The sequence below is a fragment of the Homo sapiens genome, chromosome 4 (genome assembly GCF_000001405.40).
Source record: "Homo sapiens chromosome 4, GRCh38.p14 Primary Assembly".
NCBI classification, from domain to species: Eukaryota; Metazoa; Chordata; class Mammalia; order Primates; family Hominidae; genus Homo; species Homo sapiens.
This window is the reverse complement of record NC_000004.12, coordinates 175,789,639-175,816,281: the sequence shown is the minus strand read 5'-3', so window position 1 is coordinate 175,816,281 and position 26,643 is coordinate 175,789,639. Positions and strand designations below refer to the sequence as shown.

General features: G+C 35.1%; 1 protein-coding gene and 1 long non-coding RNA gene across 7 annotated transcripts in view; one reads left to right on the top strand and one right to left on the bottom strand.

The window, feature by feature from the left end:
* Nucleotides 1-26,643, top strand: part of GPM6A (glycoprotein M6A) — a 369,457-nt gene that overhangs the window by 186,112 nt on the left and 156,702 nt on the right. For 2 of the 6 annotated variants that reach the window (NR_048571.2, NM_005277.5), the window contains exon 2: nt 4,033-4,091. The exons of 3 other annotated variants lie outside the window; for them this stretch is intronic. Coding sequence is in view for 2 of the 3 variants with exons in the window: in NM_005277.5 (NP_005268.1) it covers nt 4,055-4,091 (37 nt within the window). In the remaining variant the exon portion in view is untranslated. Of the gene's footprint in view, nt 1-4,017; nt 4,092-26,643 lie in introns of those variants that run through there. One more of the 6 variants, NM_201591.3, reaches the window with a different exon arrangement.
* GPM6A-DT (GPM6A divergent transcript) lies at nt 4,093-25,975 on the bottom strand. Its single transcript, NR_125901.1, has 8 exons — nt 25,865-25,975; nt 20,354-20,446; nt 17,598-17,636; nt 15,296-15,512; nt 10,203-10,356; nt 9,311-9,417; nt 7,520-7,681; nt 4,093-4,422 (listed from the first exon to the last, which is right to left on the bottom strand). It is a non-coding gene; the product is annotated as a GPM6A divergent transcript (long non-coding RNA).

Here is a 26,643-nt window from a genome sequence, read left to right as displayed (position 1 = left end):
ACAGTATTTGAAAGGGAAATCTGACTTGATAAAAATATAATCATATTTTTAACCACCTAGTTAACTTATATTTGTTTTATTTTATTTTTTAGAGGCAGGGTCCTACCCTGTGGCCCAGGCTGCAGTGCGGTGATGTGAGCATAGCTCACTGCAGCCTCAACCTCCCGGGCTCCCGTGATTCCCCTGCCTCAGCCTCCCCAGTAGCTGGGACTATAGGTGTGCACCACCATGGTTGGATAATTTGTTTTTTTAAAGTGTCTGTAATGGCCAGGTGTGGTGGCTCACGCCTGTAATCCCAGCACTTTGGGAGGCCGAGGTAGGCGGATCACCTGAGGTTGGGAGTTCGAGACCAGCCTGACCAACATGGAGAAACCCCGTCTCTGCTAAAAATACAAAATTAACTGGGCATGGTGACACATGCCTGTAATCCTCGATACTTGGGAGGCTGAGGCAGGAGAATCGCTTGAATCCGGGAGGCAGAGGTTCTAGTGAGCTGAGATCATGCCATTGCACTCCAGCCTGGTCAACAAGAGCAAAACTCCATCTCAAAAAAAAAAAAAAAAGAAAAGAAAAAGAGTAGAAAATATTTGTAGTGATGAGGACTGTCTATGTTGCCTAGGCTGGTCTCAAACTCCTGGCCTCAAAATGTGTTTTGATTACAGGCATGAGCCACTGCCTACAGCCCATATATTTTAAATAAATGACTAAGAGTAGAATGGGGCAAATACAATACGATACAATGGAAAGAGTATTAGATGAGGCATTTCAGTCCCCATAAGGACACATCATTGCTAGTTATTAAGCTTTATATAGTATATTTTATAATTAATAAAGCAAATCTACTATAATGTGAAACGATTTTCTTTTCTAACTAGTTTAAGATACTGGAGGTTCAAAATATTTTTACTTCCAATGAGATCCAAATTTTAAAAAATAATCTTAAAACCACCATTAGCAACAACAACTTGGCTGGGCTTGGTGGCTCACGCCTGTAATCCCAGCACTCTGGGAGGCCGAGGTGGGTGGATCACCTGAGGTCAGGAATTTGACACCAGCCTGGCCAACATGGTGAAACCAACCCGGTCTCCACTAAAAATACAAAAACTAACTGGGTGTGGTGGTGCATGCCTGAAATCCCAGCTACTCGGGAGGCTGAGGCAGGAGAATTGCTCAAACCCTGGAGGCAGAAGTTGCAGTGAGCTGAGATCATGCCACTGCACTCTGGCCTGGGCAAAAGAACGAGACTCCATCTCAAAAAAAAAAGAGAAAATCATCAACAACTCAACTGCCATCAAACAGGAGGAAGGGGAAAGGAGGAGTGCGTTTTTAATGGGCACAGAGTTTCAGTTTGTGGAGATGAAAAAGTCCTGGAGATAGCTGGTGGCCATGGTTACAGAATGATGTGAATGTACCTAATGCCACTGAACTACAGATTTAAAAATGATCAAAATGGCAAATTTTTCTTTTATATTTTACCCCAATAAATACTGAAAGCCTACTGACAGGTGATTGCTGTGAGGAGGCTATGTATGTGTATGCATCTCTCTTAATTCATTTGACGAGTCCATTTGGACTGGCTCTGAGGACTTTTTTGTATATTTTAAAAATTGGTACAAGTTGATGTTGACTTATGTTGGTAACAATTGTCACATGAAAAAGCCTGTTTTAGACAAAAAGTGAATGGTTATATGAGTGTATTCTGCTGCAAAATTTCCAGAAGAAAAAGAAATCATGAATATTTTTAAAATTTCCTTTCCCTCTCATTTCCCTCTTTTGCTTTATATGTGTGGTGAAAAAGAAAGCTATGAACTGAGGCTGATTTCTGAAGATGCTGAAGATACTCATAAAGGAACAGAGTAGGAAGGAAAATTAGCTTCTAAGATCAGAACATTAGGCAAGAAATCAACAGACATGGGTTCTAAGACTTACTTGGTGATTTATTAGCCCAGTCTCTAGGTGTCCCTGAGCATCCGTGTTTTTTGTTTTTTGTTTTCATCATAAAGTGGGGAAAATTATGCTTTTCCCATTTGACTTACAACGGGTTAATGTATGTAATCATGTTTTATAGATTGTAAAGTGTTCTAAAAATTTAAGGTGACATTATTGTATCTACTGGCACTACAATAAACAATTGCTTTCACTAATGATTTCCATGGTATAAAACGAATGAAGGATCTAAATGAGGAGCGTTGCTCCGTTCTGTGTTGATTATATGCCAGGTTATGTCAGCCTAGGGATGAGTTGAAGCAGAGAGGCTGCTACAATTTGGCTTTTTGATTTCCCTTATGGTTTCTCTCTCTCAATCTGTGCACTGAGCAAGCAGCTCTCTCAAAAACCCTTGAATACACATTGATATATATTCCAAAGAGATAGGTTTTGAGTTATTTGAACTCCAGTTATTTTTGGACAAAATTCATTTGAAAAGAGAAAATAATAACAAATGATTATACAAGTAAGAGGACTAAACATTCATTTATGAGAAATAAAGTGGAATGCAGTAATTGTGTTTCCTCTAAATAGCTGCTTTTGTAATATTTAGAGGGTGATGTGCAGCATGCTACTGGCCTGCTTTAAAGAATGCATGTGAAATACAAGCTATAATGCAAGAAACGTATGCTATGGATAATGAGGATGTGAGCTATTTTTCATTAAAGGCAGAGAGTTACAGTTATGTCTGTGTGTGTGTCCTTGTGTGTGTGTGTGCCTCTCCGTGTGTGTGCTTGTGTGTGTCTTTCTGTCCCTCTGTGTGTGTTTCTGTCCCTGTGTGTGTGTGTGCTGGCTGATTTGGAGATGAAGACAGAGGCAAGGATCCTTTCTTTCTACTCTAGGAAAGGTTTATGCTCCTTGAAAGAGATACTGTTTATTTTCTTGCTATACCTTTTGTGAAGTATTGAGACTCTTGGACTGTGCCCTGTCACTCAGTAGGCTGAAGTACAAATGCTAATTATCGCCAGACTGCAGCATTGTGATTTGCATTCCAAATCAGCTTGCAGATTCCCATTATAAATTGCTATCCTCTTGTTTCTTATCTAAAATTTGTTCCTCCCTTACATCACTCTTCTCATTCCCTAACACTGACCTTTAAAGAAATTCCCTTTCAAGAGATTCTCATTGGAAACCAGCAGCTTTCGTGGGCTATAATCATAACAATAAATAACAAAGACATCAATAGGGTTTTTCCTTCCAGTGGTTTTCTCCCTTTTACTTAAGAGTCATATGGCACTAAGTAAAATAATTACTTAAAACATGTATCTCTCAGGCTTAGAGCTTTATACTCACTCCTTTGACAGCCACGCTTCTATTTCTTTTTAAATCTCAAAGGTGTGGGATTACAAGTCCTGTCTTAGTAATAAACTTTTGCAGATAAACCCTGAGATGGTATAACTGCATCCTTTCTTGGCACCTTAAATCAAATTAACTAAATACTTAGTGAGGAGAGAAAAGGAAAACACAGTTTTTTTGCAACGTATCTGACTGGGTGAGAAGCCACTGCTGCAGCATAAAGAACCGACGGGAATCTGGGCTTTCCCACTCTGGAATGAAGGGGGGAATTACGGGTTGGTGGTCGGCTTCATGTTAGGAGGACACCCCTCCATCTGTTCACAGCTCAGCCTGTTTCCAATTTAAAGCCCAGATTTCAATACAAACCTCAATTTCTTTTCCCCATTTTAAATGCAAAGCAAGACTTGTGAATCATAGTGTCTCTGCTCCTGGGATTCAGACCAAATTTCCCCCCAAAATTCTCAGGCTATTTGTTTGAATACCTGCTTACAGTGGTACACAATGGGCAGCTTTGAGAAGAAAAATTGATAATCTTCACGGAAGAGTAATTTGAATGAAATTACACTTGACAGCCTGTCTCCAAGCAAACAAGAGGAACGAGGGAGCCTGAGCTAAGCTCTGAGGACTTGCCCAAGCCACTGCTGTTGGAGCTTCCCAGGAAAAAAAAAAAAAAAAAAAAAAAAAAAAAAAAAAAAAAACCCCCAGTTTTTCCAACATCTAATTGAGCTTTTGATTAATTCCGTGTACCAGATTCTACTGAAGAAAGGTAGCCATGGAAGAGAATATGGAAGAGGGACAGACACAAAAAGGTACTGTGCTAAAAGCGTTTATTTGTAACTAAGTAATTATTTTGCAGTTTCCTTGTTTGCTTTAGACACTTGCCAGTAAGGCTAATGAATGTTTCTCTCTTGGAAGGCATTTTGTTCCTTCCTCTCCTTTAGTCTGTTCCTCACTTGCAGTAATGTCTGGCACGAATGTTGTCATTATTTGCAAATCTTTCAGATATAAGTACCGAAATGCAGAGTCGAGTATTAGTGAGAAGAGCATTGCGGTATTGTAGTGAACTATTCCTTAGACCAGTCTTTGTTAACCTTCATTTATTTCGTGATTTCACACTTGCCGAGCTGGGTCAAGGGATCCCTAGTGTGAGCCACAAATACAATATTTGGAGTTAGTTAAAAATTTGGTGATGGAACCATTATCCATATCTTTGCATGGACATCTGATAGAACAAAGACCAAGACCATTAATTATCTTTTGATTGGTGCACCTTTTTAAAACAATCTTTAAAAAATAAAAACTAAAAACGAGGATGCAATATAGGTTTAAGCAGATGGAGCAAAAGTTCATAAATTTTCAGGGTGTATGGAAGCGTTAAGATTTTCCTTTCTATATAGTTGACTGTAATCAACTTCTGAGTAATAATGTTAAAGGAAATTTTTTTATGTGTTTTTAAAGCTTGTCTAGGTATATCTGGCTGTATGAGTTAAAGTGAAATTTCCATTTTTGAAGGTTGAAATGGTCAAATATTGGTAATTTGGAATGATTCAATCAACTCGAGAATTGTTTTAACGTGTCAAATGGTAGCTTCAGAGGGAGCTAGCTTTCACCCCAGATAGGCAGCGTTTCTCTCGTCTGCTGTCGGGCTTATGTAATGTCAGAGAAAATGGTCTCATTTTCTTAGTACTGAAGCAGTAACACAGGTAATACTACATAAAGGTAATATTCAAGAGTAGTGTTGAAAAAGATTCAGCTGTCAAAGTTAATTTCAAATGTATATAAAGGCACTTATCGTAAAAAACTGTATTTTATGTGATAAAATATATAGGGTGGAAGCACAGTATAGTTACCATATTTTTAGCCATTTAGCTATGCTGGGTTTCTTCTCTTAATGTACACACACATACTTTGAGGCATATATGGTGCATACACACACACACACACACGTAATAAAGGACCATCGATATTAAATACATGAAGGTTTTATATAAGCAAGAGATAATAGATAAGTTGATTTCCCAATTTTAGTCCTTAGTACCCTTATTCATGATAATCTGTAATAGAAACACAAAAATCTACATTAATAGCATGTGATCTATTTTTAAATTAAAAAACCTCAGCTCCCTTTATTATATGCACAAATAGCCCAAGTTTTCATCAGTGATTGTAAATGGGACATTTTAATGGTAATTTCTGTTCTTACAAGACATCTCAGTGGACTATTTTAACTTAGAATAAATTACCTTATGACAACATCTTTTTTGTAATACCTAATAATGATACTTATTGGCCGATCAATTTGCTTAAGGAAAGATAAACAGCATTTTAAATAGAGGAATGATATTCATTACACTAAATAAAACCTTGAGTTAAATCATGGATTGTGGTAACAGGTTGAATGTGTCTGAGCAAGCCTTGGTAGATGCGGGAACCAAGAAAAATGATGTAATTAGTTGTGATGTTTTTTTCTCAGGTAACACTGAAAAGCTTTCTTTTATGGGGGTGGAGGTGGCTATGCCGTGAGGGGAAGATTTCTGTCACAGTGGGTTTTTCCTCATTAATATATGCACCAGCAGCAGTGGTGGAAAGCAGTTTTAAATCAGAAAAAACGTTTAGTGGTCTATCAGTTTGTAAATGTATATGAATACAATATTTATGATTTAGGTTTTTTTCTTAATTGAGAAAAGAAGATGTAATTTTCTTCACTCTTGATCTTCTGTTCCTCTCAATTACGCCTATGACACCTTTTCTATATAAGTTTGTTGTTAGAAAGTTACATTTGAATCGAAATGCTCTGTCGATATGTGCGTGGGTTGTAACTGTGAAATTACTGGAGGAGCAATTTGACAAGCAGACAAAATCGTTACAGATTTTTCAAGAGTTTAGGTGGAGAGACTTAATGATCTGTCTAAAGAAAAGCAGCATTTTGTGTTAGTTCTTATCCTGTTTTTCTTAAACTGCATAGGATTTTCTTAAACAATAATTCAAATAGCACAGAGTTTTCTTCCATTTGCAAGAAGTAAGTGGCTTTTCAGTCTTTTCTTAAAATTTAGACCTTGTCTTTCCTGTTACATGTCACCAAGACTTAAAATTCACATCAGTGTTTACTCATATGACCTTGCAAATTCAACTAGAAGGTAAAATTCAGTGGATTCATTAATTAATTGCAATTTGCTATGTTCGAAAATATATATACTTGGTGTTTAAGCATTTAAAAAGATCATCCGTCTTAAGAAATATATTTTTCTTCATAGTGAGAGCCCACTCCCCTCTCAAGCTTTAAAAGACAATTGAGAATAGTCCTAACTTTTATCCTAATTTAAGCATATGTGTTCAGTCAGAGAGAGAGGATAATTTAACAGTATGGGTGACTTCACCCACCAGCCATTGTGTTCAATGAGCCCATGCCTGATGTGAAACTGAAATGGGGATCATTAATCTGTTGCTCCAGCAATTTCTGACACCCTCCCCAAAAGTGAGTATCTCATTATGCTGAGGGGAATCTAGTATTTTAAGAAACATATTTTTTGGTAAAACATGGCCTCTAAATGAAAGCCACTTACTTCATCTTGTGTGCAGCCAAAACAATGATATTCTAGTATAGAAAAAAAAAAAGGAAAAAAAGAAAAGAGTGTTTTGAATTTGGTCTTTACTATGGCCATAATAAACCTAGCATCATCTGTCACCAAAATCAAGAGCCATTGTCACAAAATCATGGCAACAAGGACCCCAGTTACTACAGAGGGGTTGAGCAAAGTGAATAAAGATATTTTGATGAAGATTTAACAGGTAGGCGTTTATGACTTGTAGCCATGCAACTGTTTCTAGAACATTTTGCCAAATCTTACGAGAAAATACGTAAATGATTTTTGGGTTTCTAATTAGGAGTGAATTGGTGAATACACATTCGGGTGGCCAGACAAGTGGGTGACCATCTCTTCATGGACAGCCCTAATGAAGGCCTTGCTGAATTAGGAGGGCTTTACAGAGGAAGGCTGATGAATCAATAAGTAAAGGGAGCAACAAAACTGTATAGAGATAAAAAGAAAACAGCAAGGGACAGAAAGAGCCAGCAGGTTGGAGTCTTCATAAATTGGCTGAACTGTTCCAAACAGCCAAAACCCTGATGGCTTTAATTTCTGAACATGAACATTTTATGAAACAGGTCTCAAAATTACATGGAGTATACCAGAAAGTTTTGATCAGCACAAAAGATAACAGCCACAGTGTCACTCACCTTATTTTTCTAGTGTAATAAACCAGCAGCTTATGTGAGTCTGTGCTGTCCATATCAACCACTGACTTTTCCAACACCAAAGCCCCGCCTGCCATCGCCTCAGTGGAATCAATTCTTGGTGACTCTCAGGGACTGGGTCACTAGCAGATGTAGATGATCAAGCTGAATGTGATCAAATGACCAGTTCCATCATTTCAAACAGCAATATACAGCCAAAGTTCAATGGTCATTGTTCATCCTTAGCTCAATAGCACTAACCTATTTGTCATTTCAGCGTATCTTTAATTTATTAAAACCAACAAGAATACATAAATGAAAGGAGAGGGTACAGGTTTATTTTCTTTGTTTTTCATATCAATGTTAATGTTGATCTATCTCATTATTTAAAATACTGTACAATTATTGTTGACAAGAGACCCCTTCATCATATACTTTATACATTTATACACACATATTACTATAAAGGAATCTATGCACACAAGGATATACTGTATATTGTACTTAATATAAAGTATATTTAATATACAGTACAGCTTATAGGCTGACTAAAAGTCTCTTCAGACATTTTTTGTGTGTGTAAGATTATTTTTATCTTGAAAGATGACTCTAGAACCTCACCTTTCCTTAAGCAGACATCATCCCTGAAGAAGAGACACCACTATAATCAACGAAAAAAAGAGGCAGCTTTGGCTGTAGGAGACTAGGAAATATTGGCCAACCTATACTGCCTGGTGATTTCAGTTCCAGACACTGGCCTAAGGACTTTACCTAAATGAACTCATTGGCTCTTCACAATAACCTTAAGTGGTACTAATGTTGAGGAAAATAAATACCAAATAGATTAATTGACTAGACCAAAGTCACATCGTAGTAAATAGTAGAGCTGGGCTCAATGCAATCAGAATGAGTCCAGGTTCTGAACTTTCAACCCCACTCTCTACACTAGATGGCCATAGCTGCCTGCCTGGCAGCCACACTCCTTCGAAGGACTGCCTCCCCCACATGCTTCCATTGCAGTCATCAGCTATGATCTGCAATTTATGGTTGTGTTCCTTACCACCAACTCTGGCTTCTTTTCTTTGCCAGATATGAAAACTTTTTCAAGGGCAGCCAATCTGTAAGTGCACTAGCAATCTACGACTTGTAAGTCGTGAATTGAATCCAAAAAGATGAATTGGTTCAATTGGCCTTCTTTCTTGAGAACGGGGAAAAGATGACTCTCAGTATGCTCTGAGGATCTCTTTATCCCACGGCAAATTTTAATAATAACTATGCTGCCCCATCTTTCAGCTACTCTGGGTGAATCTCTATTCTTTGCAATCGAAAGACCTCTAAGTAAAACAAATCTTCAGATCCTTTTAGGAGTCTTACATAAAGAGGCTTACTGCTAAGAAATTTTCCCTGAGTTTAACCTGGTGAGTCGAAGCTGAATCAACTGTATATTTAATGTATTAAATTTCAACTTTGACACCAGTCTTTCTTTAGTGTATTCTTGATGATTTTGATTTTTTTCCCTCACTGATCTTTGATTTTTTACAATTTAAATAAATTCGTCCCTAAATCATTGCCTACCAGTAAGTATTGGTAGTATAATATTTGGAGAACTATTGCAAAGAAATTAAAGAGACAGAATGTGTCTGGTTTATTAATAGATTTATAATCCTTAATATGTCATTGAAGTCTGTAGACTAGTGGCTAAGAAAATAACAAAAACAACATCAAAAATCTTTAAGCAGTCATTTAAGTGTAAGAATTAATAATTTGCTTCTTAGCTGTTGGCTACTCACAGACCTATGAAAAGGGAACTGATTTTATCCATCTAGTGGACAGACTTCGTCTCAGCAAATGCTGTCACAAATCATCTCTTCAGCTGCCATTTCTGCATTTGGATAACAAGGCTAAAAGAAACATAGAGAATCAGATTTTATAAAGCATATAGGAAAAATCTCTCCTAAGATTTCACAGCTGTGCTTTTACTAGCATTGTGCTTAACCTGAAGTGTCCTCCTGGGCGTAAGAAATTACTTTTACCGCTTGGTATTTTCAAATGTAGTTCTACAACATCTGTCAGTAGGGAAAATTAGTTATATTTTTAATAAAGTTCAATAGATATTCGTAGAACTTCTGCATTGTTGTGGTTATTATGTCTGCTGTGGTTTAGATATAACATTTTAGAATTTTGTCATTTTATATTTTCCTTGGATCAGTTGCTAATTATGGTTTCTTTTAGTGTCTGTGGTACTGTTTATCTCAGAGATCCAAAATATCAATAACACATTTCTAACATCTTGTTCAGATGAAGGATATGAATAGATTTTTCACAATGTCATTAAAATGAGTGAATTCACCTTTTCAAATGAAAGTGCTTGATATAGTTACTTCATTAATTCCTTGAATTAAAGTTTAAATATTTAAAGAGACTAAATGAGAAGTACAGCGTGATAGATAGATAGATATTGATAGTGTCCTTGGAGTGATGGCTTCTAAGACATGATTTTTAGAAATTAATTATTCCTTAATTCATCAGAAGACAATGGCTCATGAGAGATTCATAGGATACAGGAGATAACTTCTAGTTTGTCCATTGCGAACTCCATTTTCCCCCAAGCAAAAACCCCTCCCCACCATTCAAAATGTTTGACAGTTTTCTTTTTCATACATCGAAGGCAGACTGCCTGGCTTACTTTCAAAAATCCTTTTGGATAGCATCCATACTAACAGGTGGCACAGCTGTGGATTAGCTGACATTATAAAAATAATTCATGTTTTTCCATGTGCTTTCAAGTTGTGACCATTGTCTTGGATATTCTTAATCCAACAGTAACTTACTTCTTTGTACTGTGAACAACATAAAGAAAGAAAAACAGAAGATAACTGATTTTTTTTTCAAATTGTGAGTGGGAAATATAACTTTGGTCAAAGATGAGACTCAGTTCCTTATTGGAGTCTGTTTATAGAGTTTACTAGGGAATTAAGTTATAATATGAGGAAATCTGAGGTCAGAGAAAAAAGGAAGAATGACTGTCGGCTTTTAAATGATGTGTATTAAGAGATGTCAACATGTTAGAACATTAACTGCTGTATATATCCAGATTGATTTCCCAAAGAAAGAAAGACACTTTCTTACATTGTTTCAATTGTTTAATGTTTTTGGACTTAAATTTTTATCATATGAGAAATGATGAGTTTTACTTTACTTACCTCCATCAAAGAGAGGAATTGGATGAAATCTATCCCTGAGAATGATGCTAGAAACATAAAAGAGATTGTTCATATTGTCTCCTAAAAGGGGATGGTCATGCTTTTTCTTGGTTATCAAGTAAAAGTGAGGCAATTAAAGTATTTTGCTAATTAGCATTCTTCATTGATTTATAATAGAACTTTCAATGTCTGGGAAACTATTTTCTACATTTTTATGGTTGCAATTAATATTCCCCATTAGAAAGGTTATTTGAATGGTGAATTACCTATTCTTTCTTAACAAAAATAAAATATGGGAGAAAAACTTTACACCTGTATTTATTCCGATTGTTGTTTTATGCAACAAAGTTTAGTTAATAATTCAAATAAAGAACTAGTACACGGCCAAATTACCTTCCCCCCAAAACTTGACAGCTTTTTTTTTTGAAAAAAAAATTTTTTGAGATTCTTCTACACATTTCCTGTGTTGGTGGATATCCACTTTCATTTTGTTTTTGTTTTGTTTTGTTTTTGTTTTTTTGAGATGGAGTCTCGCTCATCGCCCAGGCTGGAGTGCAGTGGGCTATCTTGGCTCACTGCAAGCTCGACCTCCCAGGTTCACGCCATTCTCCTGCCTCAGCCTCCCGAATAGCTGGGACTACAGGCGCCCGCCACCACACCCAGCTAATTTTTTGTGTTTTTAGTAGAGACAGCATTTCACTGTGTTAGCCAGGATGGTCTCGATCTCCTGACCTCGTGATCCGCCCGCCTCTGCCTCCCAAAGTGCTGGGATTACAGGCGTGAGCCACCGAGCCCGGCCCACTTTCATTTTTAACAGCCTATACCATATCAGTTTTTCTGTTCAGTTTCGTTATTGAACATCAGAAACATAATTAAGTACTTTTACTAGCATGATTTATTTGTCAAGGAAAATATTAATAATAATAGCTAATATTTAATAATCCAGGCACTGTTCTAAGCATTTCATATGCAGTGTCTAATGTCAATATATCTTAACACTAGTTAATAAATATTGATTACAGCTTTTTAATAAATATCAAATGTTCTTTGACTTTACGGTCACACTATTTAGTCAAGGGCCATTGGGTTCAAACTCTACAGGAAACTAAGAGAAAACCTCACACAAACATCCAGAGAAAAAAAGAATTGTCATGTAACAAAATGAGGTAGTCTTCCATTTCAGTTCCAAGAAAGATTATGAGGTGGGCAGAAGGGAGAATGAGCCAAATGATTTCTCCATTTTTCTAGTTAAAAATTTATTTTTCCCACAATAAGGGCATTTAAATTCAAATTTTTGGAACCACAGACTGTACATTTGAGTGGCAGTAAGGAATTATATTTATTTTTCTTCAAACACCTTTCAATATTTCAATATTCAATAATAGAATTCATTATTAAAATAAGGATTGAGCAATGTTTGAACAATGGAACTCTTAGATATGACACTGAATGTGGTTTGTCAATTTAAAACCAACCATAGGCTTTGAGAATCTCTGTTTTAAATAGTACCAATGTATTACCAAAGCCAGATTCATTTAGTGGTTTATTGTCTCAGAGACGTTATTTTAGTTTTTCATCAAGTTAAAAAAAAAAACCATTTTACAGTGAAAAGAATGCTTTGAATATTAGTCAGAATAATTGAACTTAAAGCATTTTAAATCTCTGCTCAACCTTTCACAGTAGAAAGTTGTAATTGAGTCATAAGATCTAGAATTCAGAAACCACCCACTCAGATTGTCTCCATGAATTTTAAATATGTATAAGGGCCAGGAGTTTTTCAATTGACCATCATAATGAGTGGCCAATTGACTTTTGGTTTCCCAATCAGATGACCTGTGTTAAAGCCCTGGCTCCTTTTCTCCACCTTCATTTTCTCTGTAACTTAATCTGTGTTATTCAACCATATTTTTTTCAAAATCTCCATTTTGAGAATTAATTTTCTCTACCATTATCTTTGGGTTTAGGTCTGTTTAATGTGAGTTAGATGTAATAAAGACTAGGTAAAAGCGCCTATTACAATTCCTGGAACATACTAGGAGTTGAGTAAATGCAGATTCCTTCTCCATGTTTCCTTTCCTCTCATCTTAACACACTGTGCCCATTTAAAAAGGTGACCAAGCAATTTTCCTTGAGTCAGAGAGTCAGAATTAAAGGACTAATAACTTTTTCGAATTGTTGTAACAGTTATTTCTTAAATGTTTGTCACTTACTATATGGCATATCTTACTGTTTTTTCTTATGTATGTGTTATGCTGTAGCTCCATTCTCAAAGTACAAATTCCTGAAGGGTAAAGTTTTTATCGTTTGTTCATGAACCCAACCTGCAAAGTGCTCTGAATACAAACCCATTCATAGCTGATGATGATGATGATGATGATGATGATGATGATGATGATGAAACGAGAACAGGAGGAGAAAGAGAAGGAAGAGGGGAGGGGAAGAAAAAGAAGAGGATAAAGAGGAAGAAGAAGAGGTCAATTGTGCAGACTAAAGAAAGAATAAAACACAATTTTTCCCCTAAATAGAGACAGATCTAACAGAGCAGCTAAACCTGGCTTGGGAGAATGCAGCAAGGACTCCATTTTATGTCATTAGATTTGAATTAAAAATAATTCTTTTATTCTTTGACCTGAAATATATTCAGTAGTTTGGTAGCAGCTTTCTTGAAAATGAATAGATTTTCTTTTTTTATTATTAAAGAGCCCACACATATTTTTAGCATTGTGATTCTGGCAATGAAGTCAAATACATTAAACTGTCAGATTCAGCAAATGGTTACTGAAACTTGGAAAATTATGTCATAATATTTTATAATACGCTGTTAAAATTTAACAAAGTAGTTTACAAATTTGCTGACACTAGGCTTACTGTGTTCATTCATAAGTATTGATCAAAGAAAACAAAATTACATAAGAAATAACAGTTTGAAATCATTGAGGACAGTTTAATAAGATAAGACCTTTTCTAGGATATGTTTAGTAATGTTCAAGGTAATGAATTTAAAAAATAGCATGCAATGAGTAATCAATTTTCTTTTGCCTTCTTTTACGCTTTATTTTAGTTTTTGTATTTTAATTGGTATATAGTCTCACACAATTGGCTTATATTTTAGATGGGATCAAGACAGTATCTGAAAACAGGGCATTTGAGCTCTGGTCAATGGTATCGGAAGAGTATTTCCATCTAACCTTTCAATGCTCATCATATTCTCTCTACAATTTTGGTGTACTAAGTTTTTTGATGTATTAATCACTAATTTGTGTTTTGAGATGAACTTGTGATACCATTATTTGGTGGAATTGAGAATGAATTCTTGTTAAACAACTGAAATAACTTCATGTTTTATAGGCCAGTTGTATAGCCAGGCTGAAAAGTATAATCTTGAAGAAAGATAAGCTTATTTATTTATGTGTTACTTTTACATAGTAACTTTTTTTTGCAACACTGCACGAAAATTTAATTCACAAAGAGACAGCAAGCATGTATTTCCATGATTGATCTCTACAACACTGTTTAGCAACTTTGAACCCCCTCCAAATGATTGGGATCTGCTCATTATACTTATACGGAGTGTAGTATGCTTACCAAAGGTCTAAAAGGAGCTACTGATTTATGATACATGTGGTTCTTTCATATCATCTGTGTATCAAGAGCGACCACTATTTTACATAAATATCAAAAATATTTTTGCCCATTGTTTCTGCTAAATTGGAAGGAAACTTTGTGTCATACTTACAGTTATATAATCATTGCAATATTTGGCCTTAACTCTGCTACTCTATCTTCTTTTAAATTCTGCAGTAATGCAAAAGCAACACCACTGTAACCTAATGATGATGAGGTCTTTTCAGGCAACTGTATTACCCATGCCTGTGTCCCCCCAGGCATTCCATAGTCTTTAAAGTATTAAAAAACATAGTGTATTTATTTATCTGACACGCTCAATTTTTAAAAAATGTATCATATCCACTGGTCATTTCATTCCATCTCTAACAAATTCCTGGAAAATTCTCTCCTATTAACTGACAAATGTATTTTGCTTCAGCCTTTAGGTATTAATAGATTTATTTCTTAAAGTCTACTGAGTGGTCTATTACTTATTTGTCTATATTATAGATATATTAGTTTGAACCACGTCAAATTACCAATATTAAACACTTTTTATCTACAAAATGGCTATTCAATATACCTATATTATTACCTATTAATTAATACCTATAATATTAACATACCTATAATATTAATGTGCTACATTTATAAAAGTTTTTAACGTGATCCTGATTTCAATGTACAAAATAGAAATATATGATGTGAAATAATTAGGATCTGCATATTATACTTATGTGGAGTGTAGTAAACTTACCCAGCATTCTCCAAAATCCTTGTGAGGTCATTAATTCACTGCTTAATTTTCCCTGTTAGCAAAAAATGGCAAACTATTTGAAGACTTTATTGTTTGACACATTTAAATTTCATGAAAAAGCTAACATTGATCTCATTTCTTAGGTTTCTTGAGTTCAATACTTGGGAGGCTTGTTAAACATAGTGCTAAGATTAACAAGTGTTTAAGACTTACCCTGCTTGTCTTAATGTAGACAGAATGTCCTTTAATCTTGAAAGTGGAAAATTTGCTTTGTTTTTCCTTAGATAGAATAACACTCCAAAAATCATTTTCCATACATGTGGCATGACTCAATGGAGTCTCAGAGCCTGCAAGCTGGGAATGCCATTCTGTTATGAGGGGGTTCTCTTTTAGATCCTCTAGGATGAGTTTACAAGGCTGTTTTGTGGTCCTTAAGGGAAAAAGAGTTATATACCATTTCAGTATTGAATGTAACCCAGGCATTAACCTGACCATTATTACCTCTCTGGTAATTTTGAAGTTTTATTTTGCAAGAAACAGAAGCCTTCATTGAATGGGTTTTATGATCTGTGTTTTAGAAATATGATGAAGCCATGATTTAGGCCTCAGAGTGGACAATAATGCAGTATTATGTAGGTATATAATTTTAGCTATTATTTATTAAGTGTTGGTATGGGAAACAAGTGGGGATGGCTGGGAAAGAATTTGATGCGCCCGATCTTACTATAGGACAGATTAAGTTGTTTTAGACAAGATTTGGCCTAGAGGTTGGAGGGTCTTTTCTTTGGCTTGGATAATTTGCATTCAGTGAAATTAAAATGATATTGATATTATCTAAAATGGACTTATATACACAGGGTTAGCATACATTGATTAAGTAAAACAATCTATACCTCTACCTAGATTTGGGTATATGCTATATAATTTTGGGTTTTTTATATTTTGTATATTCTTTTAAGCTATTTATTTTTACTTTGCACATTCTTAAATAAGATTGCTCTTCAGTTTAGCCCTCAACCACAACATTAAGCCCTCAACCACAAATTATACAGTTATTGGAATTATTTATTGACTTCCTAACCACTTTGGAATCCATATACTTTTTAAAAATATTGTACTCTCAGGATCATTCTATTTGAAATTACAATTTTGAAACATCTTTATAATTCAGTATTAAAAATCCCATTTAAGGGTCCACAAGTTGAATGAAAAAAGAGATAAACTTCAAAAAATATCTGAATTGTATCCTTATCAATAGTGTTTTATATTAAGCCTCTTGCTCAAGGATATTCTGTTTGTTTTTGAAAACACTTGCGGCTAACAAGGTGAAACCCCGTCTCTACTAAAAATACAAAAAATTAGCCGGGCGCGGTGGCGGGCGCCTGTAGTCCCAGCTACTGGGGAGGCTGAGGCAGGAGAATGGCGTGAACCCGGGAGGCGGAGCTTGCAGTGAGCCGAGATTGCGCCACTGCAGTCCGCAGTCCGGCCTGGGCGACAGAGCGAGACTCCGTCTCAAAAAAAAAAAAAAGAAAACACTTGCTACTTTTAGGGTGACAAATGTAGTCATTTGGAGTTGTCTGTTATACCTCAGTCTTCTCCTTGACTCCAATATTTCCATTTTTACTTTTGTACATAAAAATAGCAATACTACTTCCGTGCCTCATATGCTTTCACTTTCTTGCACTAATATCAATCTCTATTCTTATAAGTTAAGTTAGCAAAACTGTTCTTCAATTGACTCTTAGATTCCTAGATACTTAGATTCAAGCAGTTCTTAGTGTGAGAGGGGAACATTAAAAACTATGAGCTCAGTGCCTCTCGTTTTGGAAGAGGTCATTGAATGCTACTGCCCCACAGTGAGTCAAAATGAGTGGTCCAGAGTCAAAAATTAAAGAACTGCATGTATTTTTTGGCCAAAAAGGAAATGATGTATATTATAGAAAGGGTTGATGCCTGTGATACTCTAGGAAAGGCAGCTGACTGGAGCTCCCTAAGACAGATGAGCAAAGGGAGATTGTGAGTGCTGCCTAAGACATCCTGGGGCAGGAAAACAAGATTGGAAGAGCTATTTAAAGCCACGTTGGGAAAGAACAATGTTGTTTCCCATTTTGCAAAATGAAAAAAGGAAAAAAGGAAAGGAGAGGGTAGACTCGTATATTTTAAGCACTACGTATCAAGCCACTGAAATCTTTGAACTCATTGCTCATAACTAGCCTCTGGCAAGGATTTCCAATTGCCTTCCTTTTGCTTTCATGTGCAATACAGCAGAGGACATGGCAGACAAAAACTGAATACCTCTTTTGGTGCAATATAAAAAATGCATTTTACATTTCCCTTGGTAAAATTGCTTTCCTGAAGTAATCCACCGTATTCTAAGGAGAAAATGGGACACTAAGAAATAAATATCTTTACATTTCAATTGTGGGTTACATTTGTTCTGAAAAAGAATCGACTCAGGATTAAGAGACTAACAGAAAAGACATATTTGAGAACAGTGGTAACATTCAAAACTTACCTATCTGTGATAGTCAGTAAAAGAGTTATGTTGCCTCTCCTTCCGCCACCAAGAAATATAATAATTAGAAAGTTAGTACAAAGTTTGTATGTGTATTTTTGATAATGTGATTCTGGTAAATATGCAAGACATGCAACATAAATTTACCACATTGCTCATTGTTAAATCTAAGTTAAGTGTCTCAAATTTTCCTCATTCCGTAACCTAGCTTTTCAGTTTTGCTCTTTAAATGAGGCAATTATGTAAAGGAAATATTTATTTGTCTTGAATAACTGAATTGTAAGTGTCATAAACAGAGTTTTCTTAGCCTTAAATAGGTGAATTGAGTGCTTTTAGGATAATCTGGGTACATGGTAATCTTAACGTCAAGTTTAAATAACTCAGCTTCATTAAAAGTTATTAAATGATGTAACAGCAACCTTTGTGAAAGGTGGGGTGATTATGGGTTAGATCGTTATAAATGAATAACTTAGAAGAGTGACTATTAACTTTACTTTGCAATGAATGTGTTATGTTTGTGATTTGAGGTTTATTTGTCTTTGTAAGTTACACAAGTATAGCGGTACCATATTCTGAGTAGCTCTTCAACATTAGTTTGCTTTAGCAAGCATCACCTATTTTTGATGATTACGGCACTTCATTTCCCCAACTCAAGTTTCTGATTCGGTGAGTATGGAGTGGGGCCCAGGAATCTGCATTTCTAGCACTTTCTCAGGTAATTCTATTTTTGTGGATCCTGGAACCACACTTAGAGTCTTGTAGATTATTGGTTAAAAACCCTGGTAGCTTTCCCAATTGTGATTCATAATTTATATATCAAGATAAAGATATTATGGATTTGAAATCCCAAAATTTGAGAGGAAATAATATTCAGAGATTGCAATCATTTAAAATGAGAACTTTAAGGGTGTTCTGGACAACACCGCTATAATTTTGCCTTTGAAAATAAAAAGAACTTCGAAGCCTACAATCATGTACATAAGCCCTTGACTACTTCAAAAAGTATTGTAAAATGATTGGGAGGATGTGGTGGGCAGATCACTTGAGGCTGGGAGTTAAATGATATATAGTCTTTAATCTGGATTATTCAATAGGCATAGAAGAAAATTGCAATCATGGGATGATGGGGGAAATTGATTGAGATGGCCTACGGTTATTGAAAATGCTAATGCATGTAACAATAAAACAGTTACCATGTATTCCATATACATGGGAGCTCAATTATTTGAGGGCGGGGATACAAACATTGATATCACATCACACATCATTGCTGGTATTAATACTATTGTCAATCTCAACAGCTACCTACCCAAACATCATTAATAAATAAATTTTATGAACAAGATTATGAAAGCCCCAATGAACACTAACTCTTAATATTAATGGTTAAAATGTTGGTTATCAATATTGTGATGGAATAAGATCATAGAGCATCTTTCATCCACAAATAAAATGAATAAAATGAAAGTAAAAAGTATAACTATCAGTATCCCAGCTATTACCATGTGCTGTTGAATTATGTATTTGGTTTCTGGCATTATTTGGTTCAATTTTACATGTGTTAGTTATCTAGGAGAACTAAAATGACTAGCAGCTTCTCATACATTGGTATGGAATATGATATTAAATTTGCCAGTATTTTTTTAGAGAAGAGAATCCTTAGTAATCTGAGAGAATTGAGTACTTACTAAAAACAACAAAGAATGGCATAGGATTAACACACAGAAAAAAAAACAATTCAGGACTTATCAGAAACGTCTGAAAATACTGTTTTGGGTCAGAACAATTTTAAAAGCATGTTTAGACAGGAAAGAAATTGTGAGGTTTAATTCCTGGGGGTAGCACTGAGAGAAAGGCAGTCTTCAAGCTCCTTCATTGGTGCATGCTGTTTGCTTCTTTGTTTTTGAACTAATGAATATATAATGAGTTCCCATAGGAATTAAACTTCACAACTTCTTCCAGAATTCCCAGATGTAAATATCACTCCTAAATTATAATCCAAATTTGGTAAAACAACATAAAAGTATTGTGAATGCAATCAAATAGGGTGAGTGGTTTGTATTTTAGCTTTTACATACTTATAATGAAAAACACTAAAGTACCAGAGGGAAGGTAGTGTAAATAAACAGAAGCATTCAAACATAAATGTATATTCTAACTCTGCTATATACTGGTTGTGTTTTTAGGCAGGTGACTTAACTTCTGATCAAGAGACTTAATTTTCTCATCCATCAAGTAGGAAGAAAAGTATCTATATGTTGGAATTGTTGAGATATTTAGAAATCATTGAATGCACTGATTGGTAAATTAGAGATGATAAAAACAGATTTTTATTCATCTTTAAGATTATATTATTATCTTCATTGATCATGTTATATCGCCTCCTTGTCCATGCTAAAAGCCATTTACTTCCAATGTTTGTGATTATATGTAACATAAATATAACTCTTATTGATAAAAGATAAGTAGATAATAAGTTTAGAGTGACTAGTTGCTAGCCATTCTTCTAAGTGTCACTGTGCAAGGCAGACTACATTATAAAGCTTTTGATGTAGAAGTGGTGGAGACAGAGAGCAACTAAAACAGCATCCAAACATAGATAAATAGATATTTGAGAAAATATCAGTGATAGAGTTTGAGAAAAACAGGGTGGCCTGTTAGAAAGTGACAAGATTGCAATTAAGCTGTTAGTTACAGCTGCAGTCTCATATGAAGGTTCAGTTGGGGTGGGGGGAGTAATCTGCTTAGTGGCTCACTCAAGTGATGCTGCAGGCCTGGTCCTGTACCACATGAACCTCTCCACAGGGCTGCCTCATGCCATGGTGCCTGGCTTCTCCAGAGCAAAGGATCTAAGGTAGATGGGGAGAGAGATTCCATGTAAGTTGGAAGCCACGGTACTTTTACTTATTTTATTTTATCATATTTCATTTTATTTTGAGACAGGGTCTTGCTCTGTCACTCAAGCTGGAGTAAAGTAATGATTATGACTCACTGCAGCCTCAAACTCCTGGGCTCAAGTGATCCTCCCACCTCTGCCTCCTCCCAGCTGGGACCACAGGTGTGTCCCACCATGCCCAGCTAACTTTTAAAAAGTTTTTGTAGAGATAGGGTCTCAGTATGTTGTGCAGACTGTTCTCAAACTCCTGGTCTCAAGCAATCCTCCCTCCTTGGCCACCGAAAATGTTGAGATTATAGGCATGAACCACCATGCCCAGCCCACAGTGCTTTTATAATGTAATCTTGGAAGGAACATTTCCTTGCTTCTGCCATATTCTATTCATTAGAAGCAAGTCAAAAAGTGCAGCCCTTACTCAGGTGGAGCAGATTTCAGAAAGACATGAATGCTACTCGGAAGGGATTATTGAGTGCCTTCGAAGAGGCTGCCTGCCTCAGATAGCCATAGGTACCTCAAATGCAATATGTCCAAAATGGAATTTATCAACTGACTGTTGAATCAACTCTACATCCTTGGTTCTTGACTTCCATCACATCTGTCATCATTTATGTACACTGTGTCCCAAGCTAGAAGTTTACAGGTCATTACTAATGCCTTTCACACTTTCCTCTATATTTAATGGGTTATCAAATGCTTTCACTTCAGAAATGTCTCCTAATTCCAGATTCTCATCTTCAGGTACTCAGTAATGTAATCGACTATTTCCTTAAGCTATTGAGGTTGTCTTTATTATGCTTCTCTTCATCCAATTTCTATTCGCTTTAATTAGAATAATTTCTCTCAAACAAAATATATTCATGGATTCTGTTGCGTAAAGGCTTCCATTGTTTCTACTGCCTATAAAATTAAATCCATTAGCTTTATTTTGGCATATCAAGCCCTTATAATATGGCCCAAAGCAAAGTTTCTAGGCCTACTACCCAATCTTATCATTCAGCATTGAAATAGTCTCTCAGCATGCCCTCACGTGATGTGTACAGGCCCACCCTGATTTATTTTCCATCTTCTTTCTTACCGACCATGCCTCAATCAGTGCTTCATTAGGAAGCTTTTTCCAGGCTTCCATATTCATCATAAGTCATGCAATTCCCCAGGTTCCAGTACATTTCTATAATGACATGCAGCTCCTTGAATTATCAGCTTCATTTTTTCTATTTCTATGCTATGCTTTTAGAATAACTTCCGAGCAATATTAATCTTGAATTCAAAGTTGTGAACAGAATAGTATAATGATTGACAATAAATACTGAGTGAATAAACAATTCCTTGTTTAAGTTATTGTGTGTAATTGCACTGTATCTTTGAAAGGAAATATTTAAACTACAGAAGATCCAAAGAAGGGCTATGAACAAGTAAACATTTGATTATGGTTTCTATTAAGGACTCACATGTGTAAATCTAAAGAAATTATATGAATATTTAACACTTGTTGAGATAACATCATTTGCTAAGCACTGTTTCAAGTGCATTATATTTATTAATTTGCATAATCCTCACAATAACTATACAAATAAGATACTTTTATTACTCTTATTTTATGGATGAAGATGCTAAGACCCAGAGATTTTTGATAATTTTTCCAAGGTCACTCAGCAGTAAGTGGTGAAGTTGCTTCTTAGGCCTGTCAATGTAGATCCAGATACTCTGTATTACTCTAGAAGGAAAATGGTTTCCAAAGATGCATCCAAATCAAGATGACATAAATTGACAAAGGTTAAAAAGTAAAATGAATCCAAATCAAGATGACATAAATTGACAAAGGTTAAAAAGTAAAATGAGCAAAGACTAAAAGTCAAAAGACTAATTAGGATAAATGGATGAAATTATATTTGTGAACCAAGAGGATCAGAATTGACAATATCATAAAAAAGTATTTTAAAATATTTTCCCTCTAAATACCAGGAAGAATTTTGGCAGCTTACCAGAGTTTAAAGAGGAAAAGAACTCCTATTATCATAAACAATGGGAAATGCATTTCTGGAAGTCAAGACATCAGATGATCCAAGTAAAAAGTATAAGTAGTGTCTGATGTGCAGAAGAATTCATGGATCTTGGCCGGGTACAGTGGTTCACACTTGTAATCCCAGCAATTTGGGAGGCCGAGGCAGGCGAATCAACTGAGGTCAGGAGTTTGAGACCAGCCTGGCCAACATAGCGAAACCCTTTCTCTAATAGAAATACAAAATTAGCTGGTTGTGGTGGTGCATGCCTATATTCCCAGCTACTCAGGAGGCCGAGGCAGGAGAATCACTTGAACCTGGGAGGCAGAGGTTGCAGTGAGCCGAGATCGCGCCACTGCACTCCAGCCTGAGGGACAGAGCGAAACACCATCTCTAAATAAATAAATAAATAAATAAATAAATAGAATAGAATAGAATACATGGATCTCTTACAGACTATTCCAGAATGTTCTTAATTGCTGTGAGGTAGGGACGGTGGGTATCCAGGCAACCTCCACCAACAGGGTCCTGGATAGCTCAGAGTAAGAGCATTCATATTGTATGAAGCCATAGAACATCTTTCAGAAGGGCAGTTATTATTAATTTTTTGGAGGAGTTCTATCAAAAATACATAATATAGTCCATAATAGTAGGCTCATCTGTACTAGCTAAAGAATGTATTAGCATGGATAACTTTTTAAGATACAATGGTAAATGAAAAACCTGGGACCACAAGCACAGACCACCATGCCTGGCTGATTTTTGTATTGTTTATAGAAATGGGGTTTCACCATGTTGGCCAGGGTGGTCTGAAACTCCTGGCCTTAAGTGATCTGCCCGCCTCAGCCTCCTAAAGTGCTGGGATTACAGGCATGCGTCACCATGGTCGGCCACATTGTCAACTTTATCATTGCTTGTTATATTATTTGTTTTATGTTTGAAAGGTTTCTTAATATAAATATTTAAAAGTAAAAGCATTATGAATACAATAACATGAGAATCCCATATGTATTTCTGTCTTTAATTTCAATATTTCCTTGGAAATTGGCAAATAAACTTTCTGATCAGATGTCAAAGAATTATAAGTTAAATTCCAAAATAAAGAGTTTTACATTGTATTTTAAAATATAAACTTATTAAGCAAAATGGAATTTAACATCTCAAATTTTACTAATATTCATCAATTATAATTATCAGTGGATGTATTCTAAGTAAACTTAGTTGTTATTTTGAAAAATAACGCCATTCTCAATTTTATAGAGTATCTTTACAAGAAAGCATGCATTTCCCAAGTCCATTAAAAATAAATGTATTACCAGGGCAGTAAAAAAAATATAGGGTTGCCTCTTCTTTTTGGCTATTTTCTTCATTTAATTATTTTCTAGTTTTATTTTTTACTTTTAAAAGTACTTGGAAGAGTAGACACCAAATATCCACTGTAAAACTTTAGAATAAAATAAAAATGGTATAACCCATGCTGTGAGCTTAATACTTTCTACACATTTGACTTAACTTTTTATTGGCATGGCAGTTTCAATCCAATGCATAACCAGAAGAAATAAACACGATATGTTACTAGCAGTAAACAGAGGGATTAAACATATGAGCTTAAAATTTTTTAGCACATATGAGTTGGAAATTAAAGAGACTGAAATATATTTTTATAATGAGATCAAATTACTTAAACCAGAGTCAATAACTGTTATACTGTAAACAAATACAATCATTTATTTGTAGCTTTATAAATTCTTTTATGTCAATGCTAATTTTACTGATGACTGTTTAGGGCTTATGAGGACTGCTCAGGTTATATGATTAATAACTAAATATGACCACAGGTTGTGGTATCAAAGCATCAATTTGATTTAAAAAATAGGCTCCCCATAAATATTTTAATAAATGGAAGTATTTCTGGGAGTGTAGAAGGACAATATGTCAATTTTCAGAAGGCATAAAAGCCACAAAATATTTGGAAACTAGTTTGCTCATGTTACAGAAAAGTGTGTGTCTGTGTGTGCGTGTGTGTGTGAATAAATGGGTAAAATATGAATGTCTCTATTTTGTAATAAATATTGCTTCTGTATGTTTTAGATGAGTGCTTTCATTCTGATACAATCATTTTGTTAGTAGTCTCCATCTATTAAGTAAGAGAAAATTGAATCTCTTCTCTGTTATGTGGATGAAGATGATGACTGCAGTCAATTTCTGAGTTCAATTTTAAATATGCAAATTTAACCTTTTATAAATTGCTCTTACTTTACATATAGGGACATTTATAACAATACATCCAACAGTCTACAAATTAATGTCAAATAATGAAGCAAGCTCCAAATTGTGTGACTGCCACCAGTTGACTGGGTGGCATATGGCAAGTCACTTAACCTCTGAGACCTTAATTTTCCTATTTGCAATGCTAAGGAGTGGTGCTAGAGTTCCATGTCTATGCTTCTACTAATTTTAGATGCATTTCTTAAAACTGATATCTTCAAGAGTAATGTAAAAACATTATTAAATTCTTGTCATCTTGCTAGAACAAGAATATCTTTTCTATCTATACATTTTATTTATCTCTACTTGTTTTAATAAAGCCCATCTGCCATCTGATTTATTTATTAAATAAACTCATCTGAGAATCAATTTTATTTTACCTAATAGATAGAGCCTATGCATAACATGATTATAAATTGTGAAAAAAATGGAACTCTAGTCCAAAAGACATAGGAAAAGGATTGGCCAGAAAATAGGTACATTCATATTGTATTTATTATTTCTTTTTTTCTTTATTCTCTCTCTCTCATACACACAACCACTCCCCATTAAAGCAAACTTTAATTGTAAATATAGTAAATACCCAAGTGAAGCTAAAACATTTTGTATGTTATATATCTAAAGGATTAGTTTAAATATTTGTTTCAACCTAGTGCTAACATTTATGCTCTCTTTTTTTCCTCCCTAAAAGAACGAACAAAATATTTTTTAGGCAATGAATAGATAATTTCATCATGTTGCAAAGTCCTTTAATTCATGGCATTTGCCGTTCTTGGTTTTCAAATGAAGACTTTTTAAAACAATAACGAAAAGGATATACAACTTTCCCTATGCCTTCATAAATTTCCATTGTACAATATAAAATTAAAATCGTGTTGAGATAGAGTGACTTCCATTTTGGAGAATATGGTATCCTTATATCATGTACACCCCGGTGTCATTTGATTTTGTAGTGAAAGAGAAGCTAAAATATATTGACTTCAGGCATTTTTGATAGAAAATACACTCATAAAGATAACAGTAACTAAGGCAGAGGATAAAAAGAATCATACTTGTGATACTTAATAGCATTTTAGTATTTTAAAAACTGATGGTGATCTTACTGCAAGCATCTCTACAGGGCAGTCTCAGGAAATCTCATTAATGTGTTAGCCCCTTTATTTTGCTGGTGAATTTGTTGACAGAAAGTAATTGGGTCACTGTATTGAAATGCCCCATGTAAGCTCAGAATTCTCTGTGTTGGTTGGCATGACAACCATAGTGGTCGATTAAACATGCTCAGAAATTGGGAACCTGGGCTTCTCAGAAGCTGTTAACTAGATGGGGAATAAAAAACTGTGTAGATAATGGCAAATTGGGCAGAAATTTCTAAGAATTGCCTTGAATGTGCTATTACACATTTATTTATGTAGTGCTAACAAGATAAATGTATGTGTAAAAAGCTAGATATTTAAAAATTCACTTAGATGATTACGAAATACGGTTTTGATTTGATGTGTATTTCAATAAGAAAAGGTTGAAACAGCCTTACAGTATTAAGGATGTTATTAGAGATAATTCTGATATTACTCAGAACAAATATATTTGCTATCAATGGCAATTTCTATTTAGCTCTTTCTCCTTGTAAATGATTTTGTGAGGTGCCTGGCAGATGATATCCGCAGATGGCATACAAAGGCACATTGGCACACAGGAACAGCCTTTGCTGGCCAGTTCTGCCATAGCCAAATTTAGGGAGCAGGAAGATGGTAAAACGACAAATCATTAAGGAGAGAAATAGAGAGTTGGTTTGATGGTATCACTCACTAATATCTTTTTTCTTCTATATTTTAACTCCCTTCCTTTGGCCGGTAGATAACTGTTAACATAAAGACAAAATTTG